General features: G+C 57.3%; 1 protein-coding gene and 1 long non-coding RNA gene across 5 annotated transcripts in view, besides 2 other annotated features; one reads left to right on the plus strand and one right to left on the minus strand.

The window, feature by feature from the left end:
- Positions 2631–3132: an enhancer, noted in NCBI's record as "H3K4me1 hESC enhancer chr4:8261245-8261746 (GRCh37/hg19 assembly coordinates)". NCBI's record gives its function as "activates a minimal SCP1, AML or CMV promoter by ChIP-STARR-seq in naive H9 embryonic stem cells {active_cell/tissue: H9 hESC(naive)}" and the evidence as "EXISTENCE:reporter gene assay evidence [ECO:0000049][PMID:30033119]".
- Positions 10403–10552: a silencer, noted in NCBI's record as "silent region_15262". NCBI's record gives its function as "represses an Ori minimal core promoter by ATAC-STARR-seq in GM12878 lymphoblastoid cells {active_cell/tissue: GM12878}" and the evidence as "EXISTENCE:reporter gene assay evidence [ECO:0000049][PMID:35858748]".
- LOC105374373 (uncharacterized) lies at positions 11719–13294 on the minus strand. Of its 2 annotated transcripts, none has more exons than XR_001741572.2 (2): positions 13220–13294; positions 11719–12509 (listed from the first exon to the last, which is right to left on the minus strand). It is a non-coding gene; the product is annotated as an uncharacterized LOC105374373 (long non-coding RNA). The 2 variants fall into 2 exon arrangements; XR_925108.3 differs by lacking the exon at positions 13220–13294 and adding an exon at positions 12657–12723.
- The window catches only part of HTRA3 (HtrA serine peptidase 3), a 37345-nt gene continuing 31452 nt past the window's right edge, over positions 12867–18759 (plus strand). For all 3 annotated transcript variants that reach the window (NM_053044.5, NM_001297559.3, XM_011513596.4), the window contains exon 1: positions 12867–13466. In NM_053044.5, the coding sequence (NP_444272.1) occupies positions 13082–13466 (385 nt within the window). In that variant the 5' untranslated portion in view covers positions 12867–13081. The remainder of the gene's footprint in view (positions 13467–18759) is intronic.

Consider the following 18759-nt stretch of genomic DNA (forward strand, 5'->3'; position numbering starts at 1 on the left):
CTACGTCTTAACGAAGTCCCTGCAGAGGCCCTCAACGGTTTACGCCCAAGACAGTTCATCACAGGGTTAGTAATCCCAGCACTCAGTGATGGGGCTGACTGAACAGAACATAAGCCCACACCCATTGGCTGGTGTGGACCTGTTCAAAGCATGTGTTCCAAAGAAGTTTTTTTGTTTGTTTGTTTTTTGTTTTTTTGAGACAGATTTTTACTCCGTCGTGCACTGTTGTGCAGTGACACAAGCTCAGCTCACTGCAACCTCCGCCTCTCAGGTTCAAGCGATTCTCCTGCCTCAGCCTCCCAAGTAGCTGGGAGTATAGGCATGTGCCACCATGCTTGGCTAATTTTTGTATTTTTAGTAGGCATGGGGTTTCACCATGTTGGTCAGGCTGGTCTTGAACTCCTGACCTCAAGTGATCTGCCTGCCTCGGCCTCCCAAAGTGCTGGGATTACAGGCGTGAGCCACCACGCCTGGCCAAAAGAAGTTTAATAAAAGGAGAATTCACCTTTTATTTATAAGTCAATGGCCACGCGCGGTGGCTCACACCTGTAATCCCAGCACTTTGGGAGGCCAAGGCGGGCGGATAATTTGAGGTCAGGAGTTCGGAACCAGCCTGACCAACATGGTGAAATCCCGTGTCTACTAAAAATACAAAAAGCAGGGCGTGGTGGTGCATGCCTGTCATCCTGACAAGTCAGGAAGCTGAGGCAGGAGAATTGCTTGAACCTGGGAGGCGGAGATTGCAGTGAGCCAAGATCGTGCCATTGCACTCCAGCCTGGGCAACCAAAACGAAACTCCATCTCAAAACAAATAATAAGTCAAATAAGTAGAACATTCCACTATAGCGTGAGCACGGTGACAAAAATAAGTGTGCCTCATGCACATATCCTGCTGTTCATTTGCCTTTGGGTTTTCTACCCCTTTCTCTACCCTTCCCCAGTCTGTTCTGTGTCTTGGGAAGAAAATATTTCCCAGGCTCCCTTTCCAACCAGCTTTCTGCTGGGCTCAGCTGATGGGAGGTCCCCAGGTGAGAGGAGGGGAGAAGCCAGGATGTTTCTCCCGTTGTGTATGTGCACACACATGCACTCCTACATACACTCTGATATAGGTTGGCTGTGTCCCCACCCAAGTCTCATCTTGAATTCCCACGTGTTGTGGGAGGGACCTGGTGGGAGGTAATTGAATCATGGGGGTAGGTCTTTTTCATGCTGTTCTCGTGATAGTGAGTCTCATGAGATCTGATGGTTATTGTAAGTGGGAGGAGGGTTCCTGCACTAGCTCTTTTTGCTTGCCGGCATCCATGTAAGATGTGACTTGCTTTTCCTTGCCTTATGCCATGATTGTGAGGGTTCCCCAGCCACATGGAACTGTAAGTCCAAATAAACCTCTTTCTTTGTAAATTGCCCAGCCTCGGGTATGTCTTTATCAGGAGTGAAAACAGACTAATACACACTCCCTTTGTGACCTGAGCTCCAGCCAAGGAACCCCAGCCCAGGGCTCCAGCATTCCCACCTCCTGCCTCTGCTGCTCCAGTCCTGGTGGGGTAACAGCCCCCTGCTCTGTGCCTCAGTGTCCTCTGAGTGGCTTTTCTGTCCCTCCATCACCTGTGTGACCAATACCCTAAATTAATCACCTGTCTTAAATACCCAGAGTGGTTTCCATCTTTCAGGCAGAAGGTGCTTTTTATTTTTCTTTTGAAATAATTATAGATTTACAAGACTTTGCAAAGATAGGAAGAGAGGTCTCATGCACCCTTCCCCCAGCTTCCCCTAGTGATCTTATGTGACTATAATACAGTATGGAAGCCAGGAAATTGATGTGGGTACAATGCGTGTCCTTAGTTCTGTGTCATTTTATCACGTGCATGGATTCCTGTAAGCACCACCACCGTCAAGACACAGCAGTGTGGCCGCCACAAAGCCCTCCCTCGGCTGCCCTGTGGTGGCCAGACCCACCTCCCCACCCACCACAGCAACTGTAAATCTGAACTTCATCCTTATGGGTTTGTCAATTCAAGATCATATACATGGAGTCACGCAGTAGGTGACGTTCTGAGATTGGCTTTTCCCCTCAGTGTAATGTGTTTGCAGTGCAGCCCCCTTGCTGGGCCATCAGCCGTTTGCTCCTTTTTATAGCCGAGCTGTGGCCACGGTGGACAGTGTGGTCTGTGACGGTGTAATAACTCATCTAGTATGTCTGGTTGTTGACAGTTTCTGGCTGTTACAAATAAAGCTGCAGTGAACAGCTCTGTACAGGTGTTTGTGTACCTGTGTCTTCATTTCCCTGGGACAATCGCCCAGGAGCCAAGAGCTGGGTCGCATGTGTGTGTTTTGGATTGTTAAGAAACTGCCAAAGCATTTTCCACAGTGGATGTACCATTTTACATTTCCCAAGAGGGTTTTGATCAGTATGCAAATCTAGAAGAAAAACACAAAAATGATGATTATTTTTGACTGGCATAATTAAATATAATTTTTTTTTGAGACGGAGTCTCACTCTGTCACCCAGGCTAGAGTGCAGTGGCTCGATTTCAGCTCACTGCAATCTCTGCCTCCTGGATTCAAGCAATTCTCTGCCTCAGCCTCTCGAGTAGTGGGGATTACAGGTGCCCACCACCACGCCCAGATAATTTTTGTATTTTTCGTAGAGACGGGGTTTCACAATCTTGGCCAGGCTGGTCTTGAACCCCCAAACTCATGATCCACCCACCTCAGCCTCCCAAAGTGCTGGGATTACAGGCGTGAGGCACTGCTCCTGGCCAAATATAATTTTTATTCCTTGCATGTATATGCCTGTATCTTCCACATTTTATAAAATAAATCAGAAGGATATCCTGTAAAAATTATTTAACAAAAAGAACACTCTCATGAAATTATGATTTTTAAAAGGAAGATACTGCAAGGTCTGTTAGTGTGATCTTAACTATGTAACGCACACTCACACACACACTTGCCCACACACACACAAACACAGCCCAAGACTCAAGTCCACAGGAGAGCAGCCTGGAGGTCACAAGGCCCCATGCTGACTGGAGATTCAGGTGCAGTTTCCTGGGGCGGTTTTTGGTGGCTGCCATGACAAATGACCACACGTGGTGGGTTAAAGCAACAGAAATGTGCCCCCCCACAGTTCTCTGGAGGCCAGAAATCCTAAATCAAGGTGTGGGCAGGGCTGTGTGCCCCCCAAAGCCTCCGGGGGAGGATCCTCCTGCCTCTGCCGTTCCTGGTGGCTCTAGGTGTTCCTTGGCTTGTGGCCATGTCACTCCAGTCCCTACCTCTGTCTTCACGGAGCCCTCCTTCCCTCTCCTGCTCCTCCTCCGTGTGTCTCTCATAAGGACGATCATCAGTAAACTCAGGGCCTTCTGGCTAATCCGGGATGATCTCAACTTGATCACATCTGCAAAGACACTTTTTGCAAACATGGTCAAATGGTGTTTGCAAAACGCCTGGGGGCTGGGATATGGATGTATCTTTCTCAGGGCCAGCAACCCACCTACTACAGCGGGTGACTTTTGAAATGTTTGCATACTCTGCTACTTTTTAAATTACCCACAATGAGAATGTATATTTTTGTTGTTTATTTTTTTTAGACAGGGTCTCACTCTGTCACCCAGGCTGGAGTTTAGTGGTGTGATCTTGGCTCACTGAAGCTTTGACCTCCAGGCTCCAGAGTAGCTAGGACCACAGGGGCATGGCCACTACACCAGGCTAACTTTTTGTATTCTTAGTAGAGACAGGGTCTCGCTATGTTGCCCAGGCTGGTCTCGAACTCTTGGACTCAAGTGATCCACCTGCCTCGGCCTCTCAAAGTGCTGGAATTACAGGCATGAGCCACTGTGCCTGGCATGAGAATGTGCACTTTTTGTTACGATAGACGATGACTAATAATGCTACTAATAATAAACAGTTGCATAAAAGTAATCGTTATTTTTCCCAACTTGAGAATGAGCCAGAGGCAGAAAGGGAGAGACAGTCGACAGAGCTTCCTCAAACATCCCCACCAGGCGCTGAAGTGGTTCCAGTTCTCCGGCCTTGTAAACCTGCCGGGGGAGCTTCCTGCCGCTGAGCACTTGCGAGCAGCCTTGATTACATTTCCTCGGGGTAGATTCCGGGAGCTGCTGGGCCTGGGTGCACAGGGACACTCAGCTCTCGGTGGCTCTGGAATCTCTCTCTCTCTCTGGCCACCTCCCCCACTCCCCATTCTGTAAGGCACCCAGCCTGGGGTCAGAGAAGCCCGGATGGGGTGAGGTGGGGGCTTGCTCCTGAAGATGCTCTCAGGATTGTCCATGCGTCCACGTGGCTTCTCTCATGGTGCCTGCATCTGAGCCGCTGCTACTTCCTGACAGGGATACAAGGCAGGTGCACGTTGAGGGACCCTCACTCCACCCAGACCGAGGCCTGAGGGGCCAAGTGCGTGGACGCCATCCTTCCAGTCATTCCGTGGACTATCCCTCCAATCGCTGTGGCGAAACGCACTGCTCATGGACACAGCCGAGCACCTATTTCTGAAGGGTCTGAGTTTCTGGGGTCCCACCTTTCTTTGAATTTGTGCTACATTTTCATTAACTTTTCTCACCGAACATGTGAGTACAAAGAGGCACGGCAGGAAATCCCCGGTTCCCAGACGTGGCCCTCCCTGCTTCACTGTGCAGTAGCAACTGCCCCCCCCCCCGATTTCTACCCAGGGAATCAGGAGCCATCGCCCCAGCCTGTGGAATCACCCTCTGGGCCCATTTGTTCAGCAGAACGAGGGGCCCAACTGGCCAGGTGGCAGGTTCGTCTTCTGATTGATGGGGCCATTTCTGTGGCCCCTGTTGGAAGCACTCCTGCCATGGGAACCAAGACTCCTGCCAGCAGAGCTCAAAGAAAATATGGATTTAGCCTTCACTGACAATGTCACCAGCTTTAGTCCAGGCCGCATGCCTCGTAGGGGAAGCCCAGGGGCAGTGTTCGTCCAGAACCAGGGCCTCCCCGGCCTGGGGGCAGCGACGCCTAACCTGGATATTGACAGGAGGAAGAATCCACGGAAGTGGAAAGGGCACTGCAGGGCGAAGGCCTGCAGGCTGGAGAAGGCCGGCATGTCGCTGCAGGAGCCTGGGGAACCGGTGAGCCACAGCAGATGGAGGGGGGAGGCTCCAGAGCCCTCTACTCCACCGCCAGGGCCAGGCCTGCGGGCAGGGGTGCCGGGAAGCGGACGCCTCGGGGGTGACGTCACTGACCACCAGTGGCTGTAGCAGGAGTGGAAGTGCTCAGCCTGCACAAAGATACCACAAGGTCTGTGCTGACCCAGAGACCCACAGATGGGGCAGGGGTGAAGCAGGGGGGCCCCTTTGGGGGCAGGGAATCCACCGCGGCTGCATGGCTGGAGCTTCCTGCCAACTGCAGGAAAATTATAGGGGTCCTTGCCACAGCTGGAGGGAGCATACCGCAGCCCTGCAGGAAGCAGGAACACACTCTTGTCCACCCTCCGGGCCTGCCCAGGGGCTCCTCCACAGCCGCTGAGTGTCACCTCTTGAAGGGTTTGTCATCGTACATATCCATACGGAGATATTGAAGATTAAGGGGACAATGTCTCTGCACATCCAGATGCCACAAAAGTGCCCTCTGCGGACACAACCCTGGCGGGGCCACCTCCTCTCTCGACCCCAGCTGCTCCCCACCCCGTCCTTGCCTCTCCACCCATGCAGCCCCCAGCACCCCTGCCACACTTGGTGTCACATCCAAACCTTTGCCAGGGCCTGCACCCTGGGCCTGACCCCACTCTAGCCCACCCACCCCCGCTTTCACCACCCGCTGCTGCCCCACACTTGGCCAGAAAGAGCGATTCGAGGCCTTCCCTCTGTCCTGGCCTGTCCCTGCCACGCCTATTCCCAGCAGTGGGACGTTTAGGACATGCAAGTGCTGGCGGGTGGCATGGTCAATGCCACCAGCAGCACCCACAGCTGGGCCTGGGAAGAGAATTCCAGCCAAACCTGCATCCAGTCCAGGGCAACAGGGCCCAGGGTTACGGGCACTCCGGCAGGAGTCCAGGGCCCCAGGGTCAGCCCCGCCCTTCTGCCATCCCGCTGTGACCCTGAGCAGGTGATCCCGCCTCCCAGACCCTCGGCTCCGTCCCTGCACTGACTCCCACCAGCCCCTGCTGACCCAGGCTGCTCGTCAGGCCTCATGCAGCCCACAGGACAGGCACTGCCGGGAAGGTGCAGCTGTGGGGAAGGGGCAGGCAGAGCCCCCGCTCTCAGCCATGGCTGGAGGACATGGACTGCAGTCTGCAGCGCGAGGCCTGTGGGGTGGTGGCCTCCCAGGGTAGAGGCTCTCTCAGGGCCCTGGGCTGGGTTCCCAGCAAGGTGGCCGCTCAGTTCTGCCGAGTGAGCCTGGATTGCAGCATCGCTAGCCAGGGCATCTCAGTGACGGCAGAGGTTGCAGGAAGGTGAGGGGATTTCCCAATTCCAAATGTCACCTCCATCCCTCCTGTGCCAGGCTCCCAGCCTGACCTGTCTGACCTCTCTCCTCAGGCCTTGGCTTAGGTCGGGGTCCCCCAGATGCAGACGTGAGCCTGACTTTGACCTTTGTGGTGCAGGTGTGGAGCGGTGTGTGGTGCTCAGGAGGGCGCTGAGCAGTTCACGGCTGGAGGGCACCGGTGTCTGCACTGCACCCTGACACAGCCTGGGAAAAAGTGTGTGCGCACGTGGGAGACAGACAGACACGTGAGAGATGGAGCGACACACACATGCAGAGATGTAGAGACACAGAGAGAGATGCACAGAGACACAGAGAGAACAGAGACACAGAGAGAGACACAGAGACACAGAGACAGAGAGAGAACAGAGACACAGAGAGACACAGAGACACACAGAGAGACACACAGAGACACAGAGACACAGAGAGAACAGAGACACAGAAAGAACAGAGACACGCAGAGAGATATAGAGACGCAGAGAGATATAGAGACACAGAGAGGACAGAGACAGAGAGAGACACAGAGACAGAGAAAGACACACAGAGAGACATAGAGACATAGAGATACAGAGGGATACAGAGAGACAGAGACATACAGAGACAGAGACAGAAAGACAGAGACACAGCGAGAAACAAAGACATGCAGACAGACACATAGAGAGACATAAAGACACAGAGACAGAGACAGAGAGACACGGAGAGACAGGGAGTGATTGAGGGATGGAAGGAGACAGAGAGAGGTGGAGGGACAGAGCCAGAGCCAGAGCGGTAAAGCGGATGTCATAGGACGTGAGCGTCTGGGGACCCTGGGGAAGGTGCATGGCATTCTTTGTCACTCTCATGTGTCTACGACTCTATAATTATCTCAAATAAAAGCTCAGAACACGTGGAAGGAGGTGCATCTTGGAGGAGGGATGCGGGGCCAGGCTGGCCCAGCACGGAACAGGGAACGCTGCCCGAGTCAGGCAGGAGTAGGATGGCGGGGACACCAGGGCCCATAGCAGCAGGAGGCGGCGGGGTCGAGGATTGGCTACTCCTGGGGATGGGGTTTCTTTCTGGGGTGGTGGGAATGTTTTAAAATTGATGCCAGTGATGGGGGCACATGTGTGGATGTACCAAACACTGCTGAATCTCACACTTTACAAGCATGAATTGTATAGTTCGTGAATTATCTCACAAAAAAGCGGTTGCATATATATGTTACACAAATTATCTATACATTATATACAATAATATATTTTATATTAAGATAGTATATATTATGTATTATTTTTATATATTTTATTTAAGACTTTTTCTTGCTGGAGGTGTGAATAGGGAGAGGCTCCACAGGAAATCCCAGTTTCCTGACGGGGTACACCCTGCCCCACTGCACGTCCGCAGCCCCAGCCGCTTTCTCCTCGGGAAGGAGGAGGGTTCGCCCCAGCAGGTAGAACAGCCCCTGTTGCCCATTTGCTCAGCAGAATGGAGGCCCACGTGGCCAGGTAGCATGGGACGGGGTGGGCTGGAAATGGAGGCCCACATGGCCAGGTAGCGTGGGATGAGGTGTGCTGGAAATCAGGGTCTGGGAAGGTGGAGCAGTTTCAGGTGATGCTGGAGCTGGGTGTGGGAGTTGGGGCCCGGGAGGGATGGAGGAGGAAGTCCCTGCAGTGGGGGTCCTGGGAACAGGGAGGCCGGATGCACTGCTGTCCCCACCCGTGGAGTCTCTAGGACGAGGGTGGGGCTGACTCCCAGGACTTGGGAGGGAGGGGGTCAGGTTGGGTCAGGGAAGAGACGACAGCGGGTGGAGGTTTGTGTGTGTTTCAGATAGAGACGGCTGTGCATGGGTGTGAGCTGTTGAGGCATTTTGCCCGAGCGTATCTTAGAGGTGGTGGCATTTAGGGATGAGGGGTGGGGTGTCACTTCACCTCTCGGAGCCTCTGCGTTCTTCCCTAGGACATGGGAATGGTCACAGGATTCAACCACACCTGGTCAGGGAGCAGTGGGAACGGGCTCAGCACTCGCACTGTGGAGGAGGCACCTGAGGAGCAGCTGTTTCCCCGCAGGAGCCCGAGGGTCACCAGAGGCCTCCTTGCCCCTCAGGGCGGAAGCCCCACCTTCCCGGCCCTCTTCAGTCCCCCAGGCCCCTGGGACCCTACAGAGGCAGCTCAAGCATCCCAGCCTTACCCCACAGAGCAGTGTCCCCCCTACTCACCCCCGACAGCTTCCCTATTCCTGACACCCAGGTGGCCAGAACCACAATTTAGGCCATTACCTCACCCCAGCTCCCACTGGAGGATGGAGGCCTCAGACGACCCCTGGCCAGTGGCCCCTCAGAAGGTGGACAGAGGCCGAGCGGCCTCCAGGACAGCAGCACCGTCTGCGGGCAGGTGGGGCTGGCAGTCTTGGGAGAGCCCCCTCCCTGGACAGGACATCCCCTCCCAGGAGGCAGAGGCCGCTGTGGTCCAGGGTGTTCACATTCAGCCCCTCCTGGCAGGGCTGGGTGGAGTCAGGGTGATTTCCAAGAGGGGTTCGGGCTCCAGAAAGCCAAAGGAGGAGCGCCATGTGAAAAAGAAAAAGGAGACCCTTGCCCAGCTGCGTGACCCTGATTCATCGTTTCATTTCATCAGCCAGGGTGGGTTCCATGCCCTCGAAGCCATCTCCCCGCTCCTTCCCCCTCCTCCCAGCCTTCCTCCTGTGAGCCTCCACTTCGCTTCTGTACAAGATGAGTCCCTCTGCCTAGGTTCCAATCCAATGCTGCAGCTCACTCACTGTGTGATCTTGGACACAGCGATGAGCTGTTGAGCCTCTCTGTGCCTTGCTTTCTTTATCTGTGCAATGGGCATGGCAATAGTAAGACCTCCTTCAGAGGGTGTGGTAAGGGCTAGACACCTGCACAGTCCCTAGTACACAGTACATCACAGAAGCTCAATCAATGCGACCTACTAGTATCAGTTAGCCTGGTTGTCTCAGCCACCCACTTTCCCTTTGTGGGCCTCAGTTTTTCCTTCCATAAAATGGGTATGGAACAGCAGTGTGGCTCTGGAGGAAGAACATACACTTTGGGGTCAGATCCGACTTTTCCTAAGCCTGGGTCCATCACCTAAAGGCTGAGGGGCCTTCGGCAAGTCGTGTAAACTCCCCTAGCTCGGCTTTCTGTACCTATAAAATGGCTGTAACTGGCATTCCCCCTTGAGGGGTTGTTCCCAGAGCTTACAGAAGCACCCAAGGACGGCAGAGCTGATGTCAGTGTTGGGAGGTGCAGAAAGGGTGGCCCATATCACAACCTACGCCCACCCCCCACCCATCAGCCTGAGCAGAGCCCACCCTCTGAGTCACCCACTCACACAGCCACCGCGTCTTATCACAGCTGATGATGGTCTTCAAGGTCCCTGGAGTGGTGTAAGTGATGACCTCATCTGAGACGAAGCCTGGACTTGGGCAGGGGTCAAGCCAAAGGGCCGAGCCTGCCCACAGCTTGGAGGGCTCCTCTGCAGGCCCAGGATGCGCACTGCTGTCCAGCTCTGGGCGGAGATGGAGGGATGGGATGGGGCCATGGGGTCCTGGCATGGGACAAGAGTACCCTGGAGAGAGGCAGACCCAGGCCCAGCCTGGAGGGAGTGAATTCCATTCCACTGAGGATAAGCAACGTCTCATCTTATGCTTGTTTGTAAAGAACTATCAATATTTCGGGCAGGGTGACAAGCGGGAGTAAGTAGAAATGAGCGAAGGAGGGGTGTACGTAAATTAAACAAGCTTCCTGGCATTGTTGAAGAACGAGCTGAGATAACACGGGCCAGAGGGCCGGCCCTGCGCCTGCACACGTTGGCCTGGCGGAGCCTGTATCTGGAGCTCTGGGCTGACGACAGAGGCGGTCCTGTGCTGGGAAGCCAGAGACTTAGAGGAACCTCCCGGGTGGATCCCAGGCCCTTGGGGAATCCTCTCCTACTCCTGGCCCCTAAGTCAGGTGTTCAGGGTTGGGGATGGGAGGCCCCAAAGTTTACTGAGTGAGAGGCAGTGCAGGGCGGGAGCAGCAGGGGGCGCGGCTCTCCTGAGGACAGCGCTGGGCTCCTGCCAAGCTCAAGGCAGCCACTGTGAGCCCTGCCTGCCCATTTCAGGGAAGAGCAAAGGCCACCCCAGGGAACTGCATCCCAGCTGCAGAGCAGAGAAGGGTCTTTTCACTCCGGGCCTCAGTTTCCCTCTCTGTACAAGAGGACTAAATCCCCACTGCAAGGTGGTCAAGATGGTGACCGTTGGGGGCAGCATGGTCTCCAGGGAGGAGCAAGGACTTGACCTAAGGACAGGCCAAGATCTGAGGCCCACCTGCCAGAATCTCTGGCCTTGCACTCCCCCAGCCCTGTTCTAAGGATCCTAACGCCCACCTCTCAGGCGCTTCGTGAAGACTGAGTCAAGTGTATGCAGAGCGCTCCAGCAGCCTCAGGGCCTACACATCGGTAGCTGTGGTTCCTTGGAAGCTGTGGCAGGCTGTGCAAACTCTGACCTGCTGCAGCGCCGGTCCTGGACTCTCTCAGAGACTCAGTTTCCCCATTGTAGAGGAAAAGCTTAGGGGAAATGAGCTCTTGGGCCCTTCCCAGGGACTTAGTTTTCTGCGCACTGAAGGATCCAGGGATGGAAAAGTGTTGATCTTCAGGGCCAGGTGTCTGCAGGAAAACACAGGCCCCCCAAAAAGCCAGCTCTGGGCCACAGTAGCCCACCAAGGCTTACTCGAGGGGCAGGCATCCTGGGCACGTGAAAAATTCTCCTTGCGCCTTAGGCAAGCCCACCCTGCAGAGACATGAACCGGGAGCCCTGGCCAAGGTTGAGGGAGGTTCAGCCCAGCCCTGAGGTCCCCAACTCCTAGCATTCTGGGTCATTCCAAAAAATGGCCTGAAATTCTCCACATCTTCAAAGTAAAGTGCACTTGAGGTTTGTAGAGGCAGAAACGCAGGTGCTATTGCCCCTTGTCAAAGGGCCTTTTAGGGGGAGAAGCTCCAGGTCCCTTCTCTCCCCGTCCCCTGGGACCCTTCAACCTTTCACTCTCTCTGGGTCCTATGGGGGCTCACACTTGGCGCCCCGCCTCCTCCCACCTCATCCTCCCCAGACATCTTGTCTGATGGGGCCGCTCCCTACTCAACGCCTCCCCAGGCCTTTGAGGACCCAGGGCCCTCAGGGATCAGGCCCCTCCACCTTCCCATTCCCCGAGGCCCTTTAACCTCCAGCTCCCCCTCCCTCCTCTGGACCAGAGGTACCCCTCCCCATTCTTAACTTGGGTATCTGTGAACCTGGATGGAAAAACGTCTTTATTTACCCCAACAACTCCAACTGAAGTCCAGCATTCATTCCTTTGGGGGTGCAGTTGACCCCAGCCAGCAGGGCCTGTGGCTCCACGGCCAGCAGAAGCAGTGTTTACATCCCCATGTTACCGCCCTCACCGAAGGTGTCTCCAGTGGCAGCCCTCTGCACAGGGCTGCTGCGAAGTGTCCACTGGTATCAGACGACAGACCGACCAGAACCTGCCATTAACATGCTGATAAAGAAGCCCATAGGCCACGCTGTCATGAATTGTTTCATGTATTTTGATAACTGTGTTTTGATAGAATTGTTCCCCTTTGTGACCCCATGGTCTTTGTTTTATGCGTTTAAATCTACTTGACGACATCGTTCTGAAAAGGACACCCAGGCTTCGCCAGGCAGCCCAGGGTACTAGGAACACACACAGTGTGAAGACCGCAGCTCCAGGCTGTGCGCGCGGCGTTATCTCCTGCTGCCCCGACCTGCTTTTGCTTGGGAGCCTCTGCCCAGGTCACGGCCAGCTCCCGCTTCCCATCCTTCCTCTTCAGGCTTGACATTCACCTCCAAGGGGGGTTCTGCCTTCTCTCACAACTCCGCAGCCTTCACCCCATCAGCTGACGCACTGTCACCAGATTCTGACTCTCGTGATGGGACCTGGGTCTGAAGGGGCCCTGCAGAAAATGCAGGAGCAATGATGAGAATGGAAACAGCTTCCGGTTCCGTGGACAGCGAGGACTCGGGAACACTGCTCAGCCATGGCCTCTGTGGTTCTTCCAACGACCCTATGAGGTTGAGAAATGCTGTCAATTCCCCTTTCCTGGAGGAGGAAACTGAGGCACAGAGGAGACTGGACACGGACAGACCCCTCCAGAGCGGGGAGAACGCATCCCCCAACGTTTCTGGGATAGGCTGGGCCCGGGGGTCCCCACCAGAAAGGACCCCTGCGTGTCTGTAGCCTCGGGTTTTCTCGACCAGGCCGACCAGAGTCCCAAGGCCTGCCGGGTGGGTCCAGGCCCGGAAGGCCAGGCGGGGCCCTGTCGGGGCCTGGGCGGGGCTGGCGGAGGGGCCGGGCCGCCCCTTCCAGCGAGGGCGGGCTGGGCGGTCGCCTTTAAAGGCGCGGGACCCGCCGCCCGCGGACCGTCAGGCTGGAGGGAGCTGGTCCCTGCGCTCCCTGCGCCCTGGGGATGCCCCTGCCGCCCTGACGCCCGCCAGCCTGAGCCACCGGCGCATGTGACCGCGCGTCCGCCCCAGTCCCATCCGTAGGCGCCCGGCGCCCGGCCCCGCAGCGGCCTCGTTGTCCCCGCCGGCCCCCGCCCGGTCTCCCGCGCTGCCACCCGCCGCCGGCCCTGCCGCCATGCAGGCGCGAGCGCTGCTCCTGGCCGCGTTGGCCGCGCTGGCGCTGGCCCGGGAGCCCCCTGCGGCGCCGTGTCCCGCGCGCTGCGACGTGTCGCGGTGTCCCAGCCCCCGCTGCCCCGGCGGCTACGTGCCCGACCTCTGCAACTGCTGCCTGGTGTGCGCCGCCAGCGAGGGCGAGCCCTGTGGCGGCCCTCTGGACTCGCCTTGCGGCGAGAGCCTGGAGTGCGTGCGCGGCCTATGCCGCTGCCGCTGGTCGCACGCCGTGTGTGGCACCGACGGGCACACCTATGCCAACGTGTGCGCGCTGCAGGCGGCCAGCCGCCGCGCGCTGCAGCTCTCCGGGACGCCCGTGCGCCAGCTGCAGAAGGGCGCCTGCCCGTTGGGTAAGCGCTCGGGGGCCAGGGAGGAAGTGAAGCTTCTTTCTCTTGGGGAAACTAAGGCCGGGAGTTAGGGCCGAGCTCGAGGTCGCCCTTCCCTGGGCACCACCGGGTGGCCCTTCAGAAATCATCCCACCAGCCCTCTGGTCTTTCAGATGAAGAAACTGAGGCCCGGAAAGGTAAACCGCTGTCCCCAAGGTCACAGAATTAGAGTCAAAAGGGAAACCCGGTGGTCTCCTGGCCACCCGAGGGGCCTCATCTAGGACTGTTTCCAGCTCTGGTCTCTTCAGAACTGATGTCTCGTGCCCATTCCCTTGATCCTTGGACCCCTGCTCTGTCCGGGTATTGAGTGAAGGGCACTCTTTCCTGCCCTAACTCTCCAGCCGGGGTGCCCTCTTGGGTGATGCCTTCTTTCCTGGAGACTGTGGTTAAGTGCATGTCTCCACAGGACTGTGTGGGAAGGGTCAGGGTGCAGGTCCCTGAACTGCTTAGGGCGCCCCAGGGAGAGGCTGCTTGGGGGAGAGAATGTCGGGGTCAGACCCTAGAACAGCCTCCCTTGAGGCAGTCGGCTCTAGGTTGCATCTCACCGTGCAGGTTGACTCTGTACGTGGAGGAAAATGCTGGAAAACCTGCTGTACCTTTTTCCCTGTTTGGGGTGCCTCTTAGGAAAGCAGACTCTGCTGTGGCCGGACAGGGGTTCACTGAAGACAGGCGACGGGCCCCAGGTTCATGGATAGGAGTCAGGGTCCTGCGTGCCATCAGCTTGCAGGTGGCAGGGAGAGATGCAGTAGCTGCCAGAACAGGCTCCGTGGAGCCTCAGGAGCACCATGGGGAGCACCAACTGCCGGGGCTCCTGGGAAGCCTGCAGAGGGCTTCCTCATTTTTTCTGCGGTCCGCTGAACACAATTCCAAGTGTTTTCATGGTGTAAAAAGGTTGGGGAACTGAGCGCTCTATTCCTGTAGTGGAGACTCACAGGCTCAATCTATCAGAGGTTCTGAGAAAACCTGCAGTGTCCTCAATTGATGAAACCCAGGGCTTCCCCAGAGAATTTCAACAGAGAGCTCTTCTTTTCTGGCAGAACACGTGACCTCCTCCCAGCACGCTGGGGTTCCTGGGAGCCCCGTGTGGGAAGCATCATTCGAGATTAGCTAGGATTATGTGGAAGAGCCACCGCAGGGTTTGGCGGGGAGTCCCAGTCCACCTTGTGCTGGTACAACGCCTGAGACTGGGCAGTTTATACAGGACAGAGATGTATTTCTCGCAGCTCTGGAGGCTGGAAAGTTCAAGACCAAGGTGCCAGCAGGCTTGGTTGTCTGGTGAGGGCTGCACTCTGCGGAAGGGAGGAAGCTGCGTCTTCACACGGCAGAAGTGCAGGCAGGGACAAGGCCGAACGCTGCCTGTAGCCTCTCTCATAAGGAGCTTCTGCCCACGCTCGAAAGGAGGAACCCTTGTGACCTCATCACCTCCTAACACCCCACCTTTTCATACCATCACATTGGCAACACCTCTGTTTTGGAGGGAACATGTTCAAACCATCATGGGGGTGAGGGTGATGAGGTCCGGCTTGTGTTGAGACTGCCCAGGAGGCTGAGGGGTGCGAGTGTGGGGCTGCGGGGTCTTGGAGACGTTGTCATTGACTCAACGCCTGCTGCACTGTCACAGTGGCACATCAGTTTGGGGCTTGGTGCTGGGGTACCTTTCCTGGGCCTGCCCGTTGCAGCCCAGCTGTGTGCATGGGGGCCACCTCCCCACCCCGCTCCCCACCGTGGAAGGCACTATGAGAATAGGGCTGCAGGGCTCAGGGCTGGCAGGGAGCTGGAGGCAGCCTGGGTGTTCTGAGACACTCACTGACTTCTGGAGTTCGCGTCATGAGGCACTTTCTCTGTGTGCCTGGCTGGCCCCAGGCTGGTGACAGGGCACAGCCATGTAGCAGACCCTGTTGGTGCCCTCAAGCCTCACAGACCATCGAGGGGACAGAAGGGAGGAGGAAAATAGTCTTATCCCCAGAGACAGGTGCATGGGGAGCTCAGAAGGCCAGGAGGTGGCCGTGAGCGTGGGGGGTCATGGGCTGAGGCCTCAGTGCTCCGGGGTCTGCAGTCCCAGCGCACCTCTTCCCGATGAGGTGACCTTAGACCACTTGCTCACCGTGAGTTTCCTCAAATGAGAAGCGGGGACCTGCAGGAGAGCTGCTGCCAGACACGAAGGCACACGCCCCTTGCCTGATGGGCAACCCCCAGACCACGTTGTTTCATATGTTGTTATCACTGTGGCGACCGACCCAAATCTGTCTCACCCAGCAAGGTCAGGAGAGGCTCTCCAGAGGAGGCGCTTCTGTGCCAAGCTGTGGAGGAGGACTGGGAACTGCCTGGGGAAGGATGGGGAGGACAGAGAGGGCATGGGCAAGGCAGAGACCTGCACAGGACCCGAGAGCCCTGTCGCCACCAGAGCCCACGGAGCCAGGTGGGGAAATGGGGCCTGGTGGGGAGGGGAGGCAGAGAGTGCAGGTGGGAGGCTGCTGGCCATCTCCAGGGCGCCGTTCACACTGTGGGCGGTGTGCAGCCCTGCCACTGTAGCCCGGTGCACGGGGACCTTGGACAGCCAGCTTTCGGCAGGGCGACACGCAGAGTCCACTCCCTGTGGAGGCCTTGGGTGCCCGGCCTCTCCCCAGCCCTGTCTCATTTCCCACGGCAAGCCTGGTCCTTTCCCAGGCACCACAGATGTGCTGCTGGAGGCCAGGAAGGGTGAGGGACTGCTCTGAGGTCACATGGTCAGGAAGTGACCCGGCTGGGCCTGGCCTGGGTCTGGCTGGCTTTGCAGGCTATGCTCTGTGGGCCTCCTGGCTTTTCCTCTGCAAGGGGTGGCAGGGCCCCTGAGGCTGGGAGTCGGGTCAGGCCTGGGCCCCCGGCTCCATCAGGCTCAGCCTCCATGGAGTATTCCAGCAGCGTAGCCGGCTTCTGCCCTCCCGAGGTCCCAGCCAGAAGTTGCTGGGTGCCGGTCACACTTAGTGGTGTGCCAGGCGCTGCCGGGCATTTCTGGGAGGAAGTCCTGCCTGATGAGGGCAGCCTCCTGTGGGCTGAGGTTCCTTGTGCTCTCCTCTCCCCTCCCCATGTCAGCTCCTCCGCCTTCTCCCACCCTCTAGGCAGGAAGGTCTCCTTGGTCCCTTCTCGCCACCCTCCCCCCCGCACCCCCGCCCCAGTAAGCTCATCTGCCATGAAGTCCTCCCCAGGTGCTGGGACTTCGGGCCCTATCTCCAGCCCCCGGGTCTCTCCTGAGTTAGAGTCACGTGGAGATGCCTGCTGAGCCGCCTCGGGCTCTACTCTTCCCAGCCCCACTGAAAGGAGCACCACGATGTTCAGTGGGGAGCCTCGATCCCCTCCGTCCCTCCGCCCCTCATTCCCCTCTTCCCCTCACTCCCCTCAATGCCTGCTGCACTGTCACAGTGGCTCATCAGTTTGGGACTTGGTGTGGGGGTACCTTTCCTGGGCCTGCCCATTGCAGCCCAGCTGTGTGGATGGGGGCCCTTACTCCTCTCCACCCCTCATTCCTCTCTGCCTCTCACTCCCCTCCACCCCTCATTCTCCTGTGCACCGGGAGTCCCCTCAGCTCATCCACAAAACATCTCCTGGGGCGCTCTGACTTCCCCCTCCATCCTCCCTTCCATCACTTCTCACACAGCAGCCAGGATCACCTTGGTCAATCTGTCCTGCCCATGACCTGCAGGCTTCCTTGCAAGGCACCCCAGCACTTACCTTGACTCACAGGGCCCTGTGCCTGCCACCTGGCCCGCATCACCCTCGGTGCCGTCTCCCACTGTCCCCTCATCCCCTGTGCTCTGGCCTCATGGCCTCACCGGTCTCTTTCCCACCTCGAGGCCTTTGCACGCAATGTGCCCACTGCCCGGCGTTTCCTTCCCTTGCCTTAGCGTGGTGGGTTCCTCATCCTGCCTTCACCCGGATGTCCCACCGCCCCTGAGCCACCTGCCCTGGCCACTGTGCCCAGGTCATCCTTCATTGCTTGGTGAGCACACCCAGGGTCTCCGGTGGGCCCTGCACACAGATGTGACTGTGGGTCAATTTCTCTGCGTGATCCCCATCTCCTCCAGGCTCGAAGCCTCGCCGGGCAGGGGCCTGGGCCAGTGCGTGGCCTCTGTAGATGACACGAAATGAGACGAGGGCCCATGTGATGTGTGAATCTCCTCTAACCCTCTGGGCCCTTCTTGCATCCCTCCAGTGACAGAGGCTCACCACTTCTCAGGGGAACCCTCGCATCTTCTCAGGTCCATGTTAAGGCATCGCAGTTGCACAGAGTGGATAAATGTCCATCCACGGGATGGTAAAAGCAGGGATAAATGCGTTTCTGAGGGCCTGTGTGGAGAAGGGTTTCCCTTTGCGCGTAACCAGAGCTCTGAGGCCATGCAGCCTCTCCTCTGGCTGCAGATAAACAGGCCTTGGAGCCTGCCATGCGCTCAGAATGTAGAGCCCCAGAGCAGTTTACAAGGTGGCATTTAATCACCGGCTTTTATTGTGCAACCCCAAGCAGGTTCTGATGGCATCTCCCGGTTGTATTTATTGAAGAACTTGGGTTGGCTTTTGATTTGTAATCCTCTTAGCAGCTTCCTGGGGCTGCACATGCCTTGGAGTTCAGCATCTGGGACCACTCAGGCAAGATGACGCCTCCCCTCCTGCCCCGCCCACTCCCGCTGGGGCTGCAGTGCTGAGCCACAGCATCTGGCGGCACTGGAGGACTTGGAACTGCCGGCAGAGCTGCTTGGCCAAGAGCTTTCGCCAAGGCTGCCAGGAGCCAGGAGTCCAGCCGGACTGGAGCTGAGACCAGGGCGCTGTGCAGCTGCCCTTCCTGCCGGGGCTTGGCCTAGCAAATGCACCCTCACCCCATCTGCCATCCTGTGGTCTTCCCCCGACAGGCCTCTGCCCTCCCATGCAGCCCCACACAGCAGCCTGAAGGGACTTGGCGAGACCCGGACCCTCCCTGCCGAAAGCTGGGCCATGGCTCCCACGGCCTCAGGACTAAGCATAGCCTCCTGGCAGGCTCGCAGGCTTGGTGACCCCAACCACTGCCTCCTGCCCACATCACCACAGCCGCAGACCCCTGTGAAACCCCCATCCTGCATTGTGAGGGACCAATGACAATGCATGGAGCCCAGAAGAGGAAGAAACCACCTTCAGAGTGGAGAGAGGGCTAGATCAGGAGGGCTTTCTGGAGATGGGGGCGTCTAGTTGTGGAGAGGTGGGTACAAGGGGGCCTGTGCACCCTTGGCCTCCCACAGGCTCACCAGGGCCT

This window comes from Homo sapiens, chromosome 4, assembly GCF_000001405.40.
Source record: "Homo sapiens chromosome 4, GRCh38.p14 Primary Assembly".
Taxonomy (NCBI): Eukaryota; Metazoa; Chordata; class Mammalia; order Primates; family Hominidae; genus Homo; species Homo sapiens.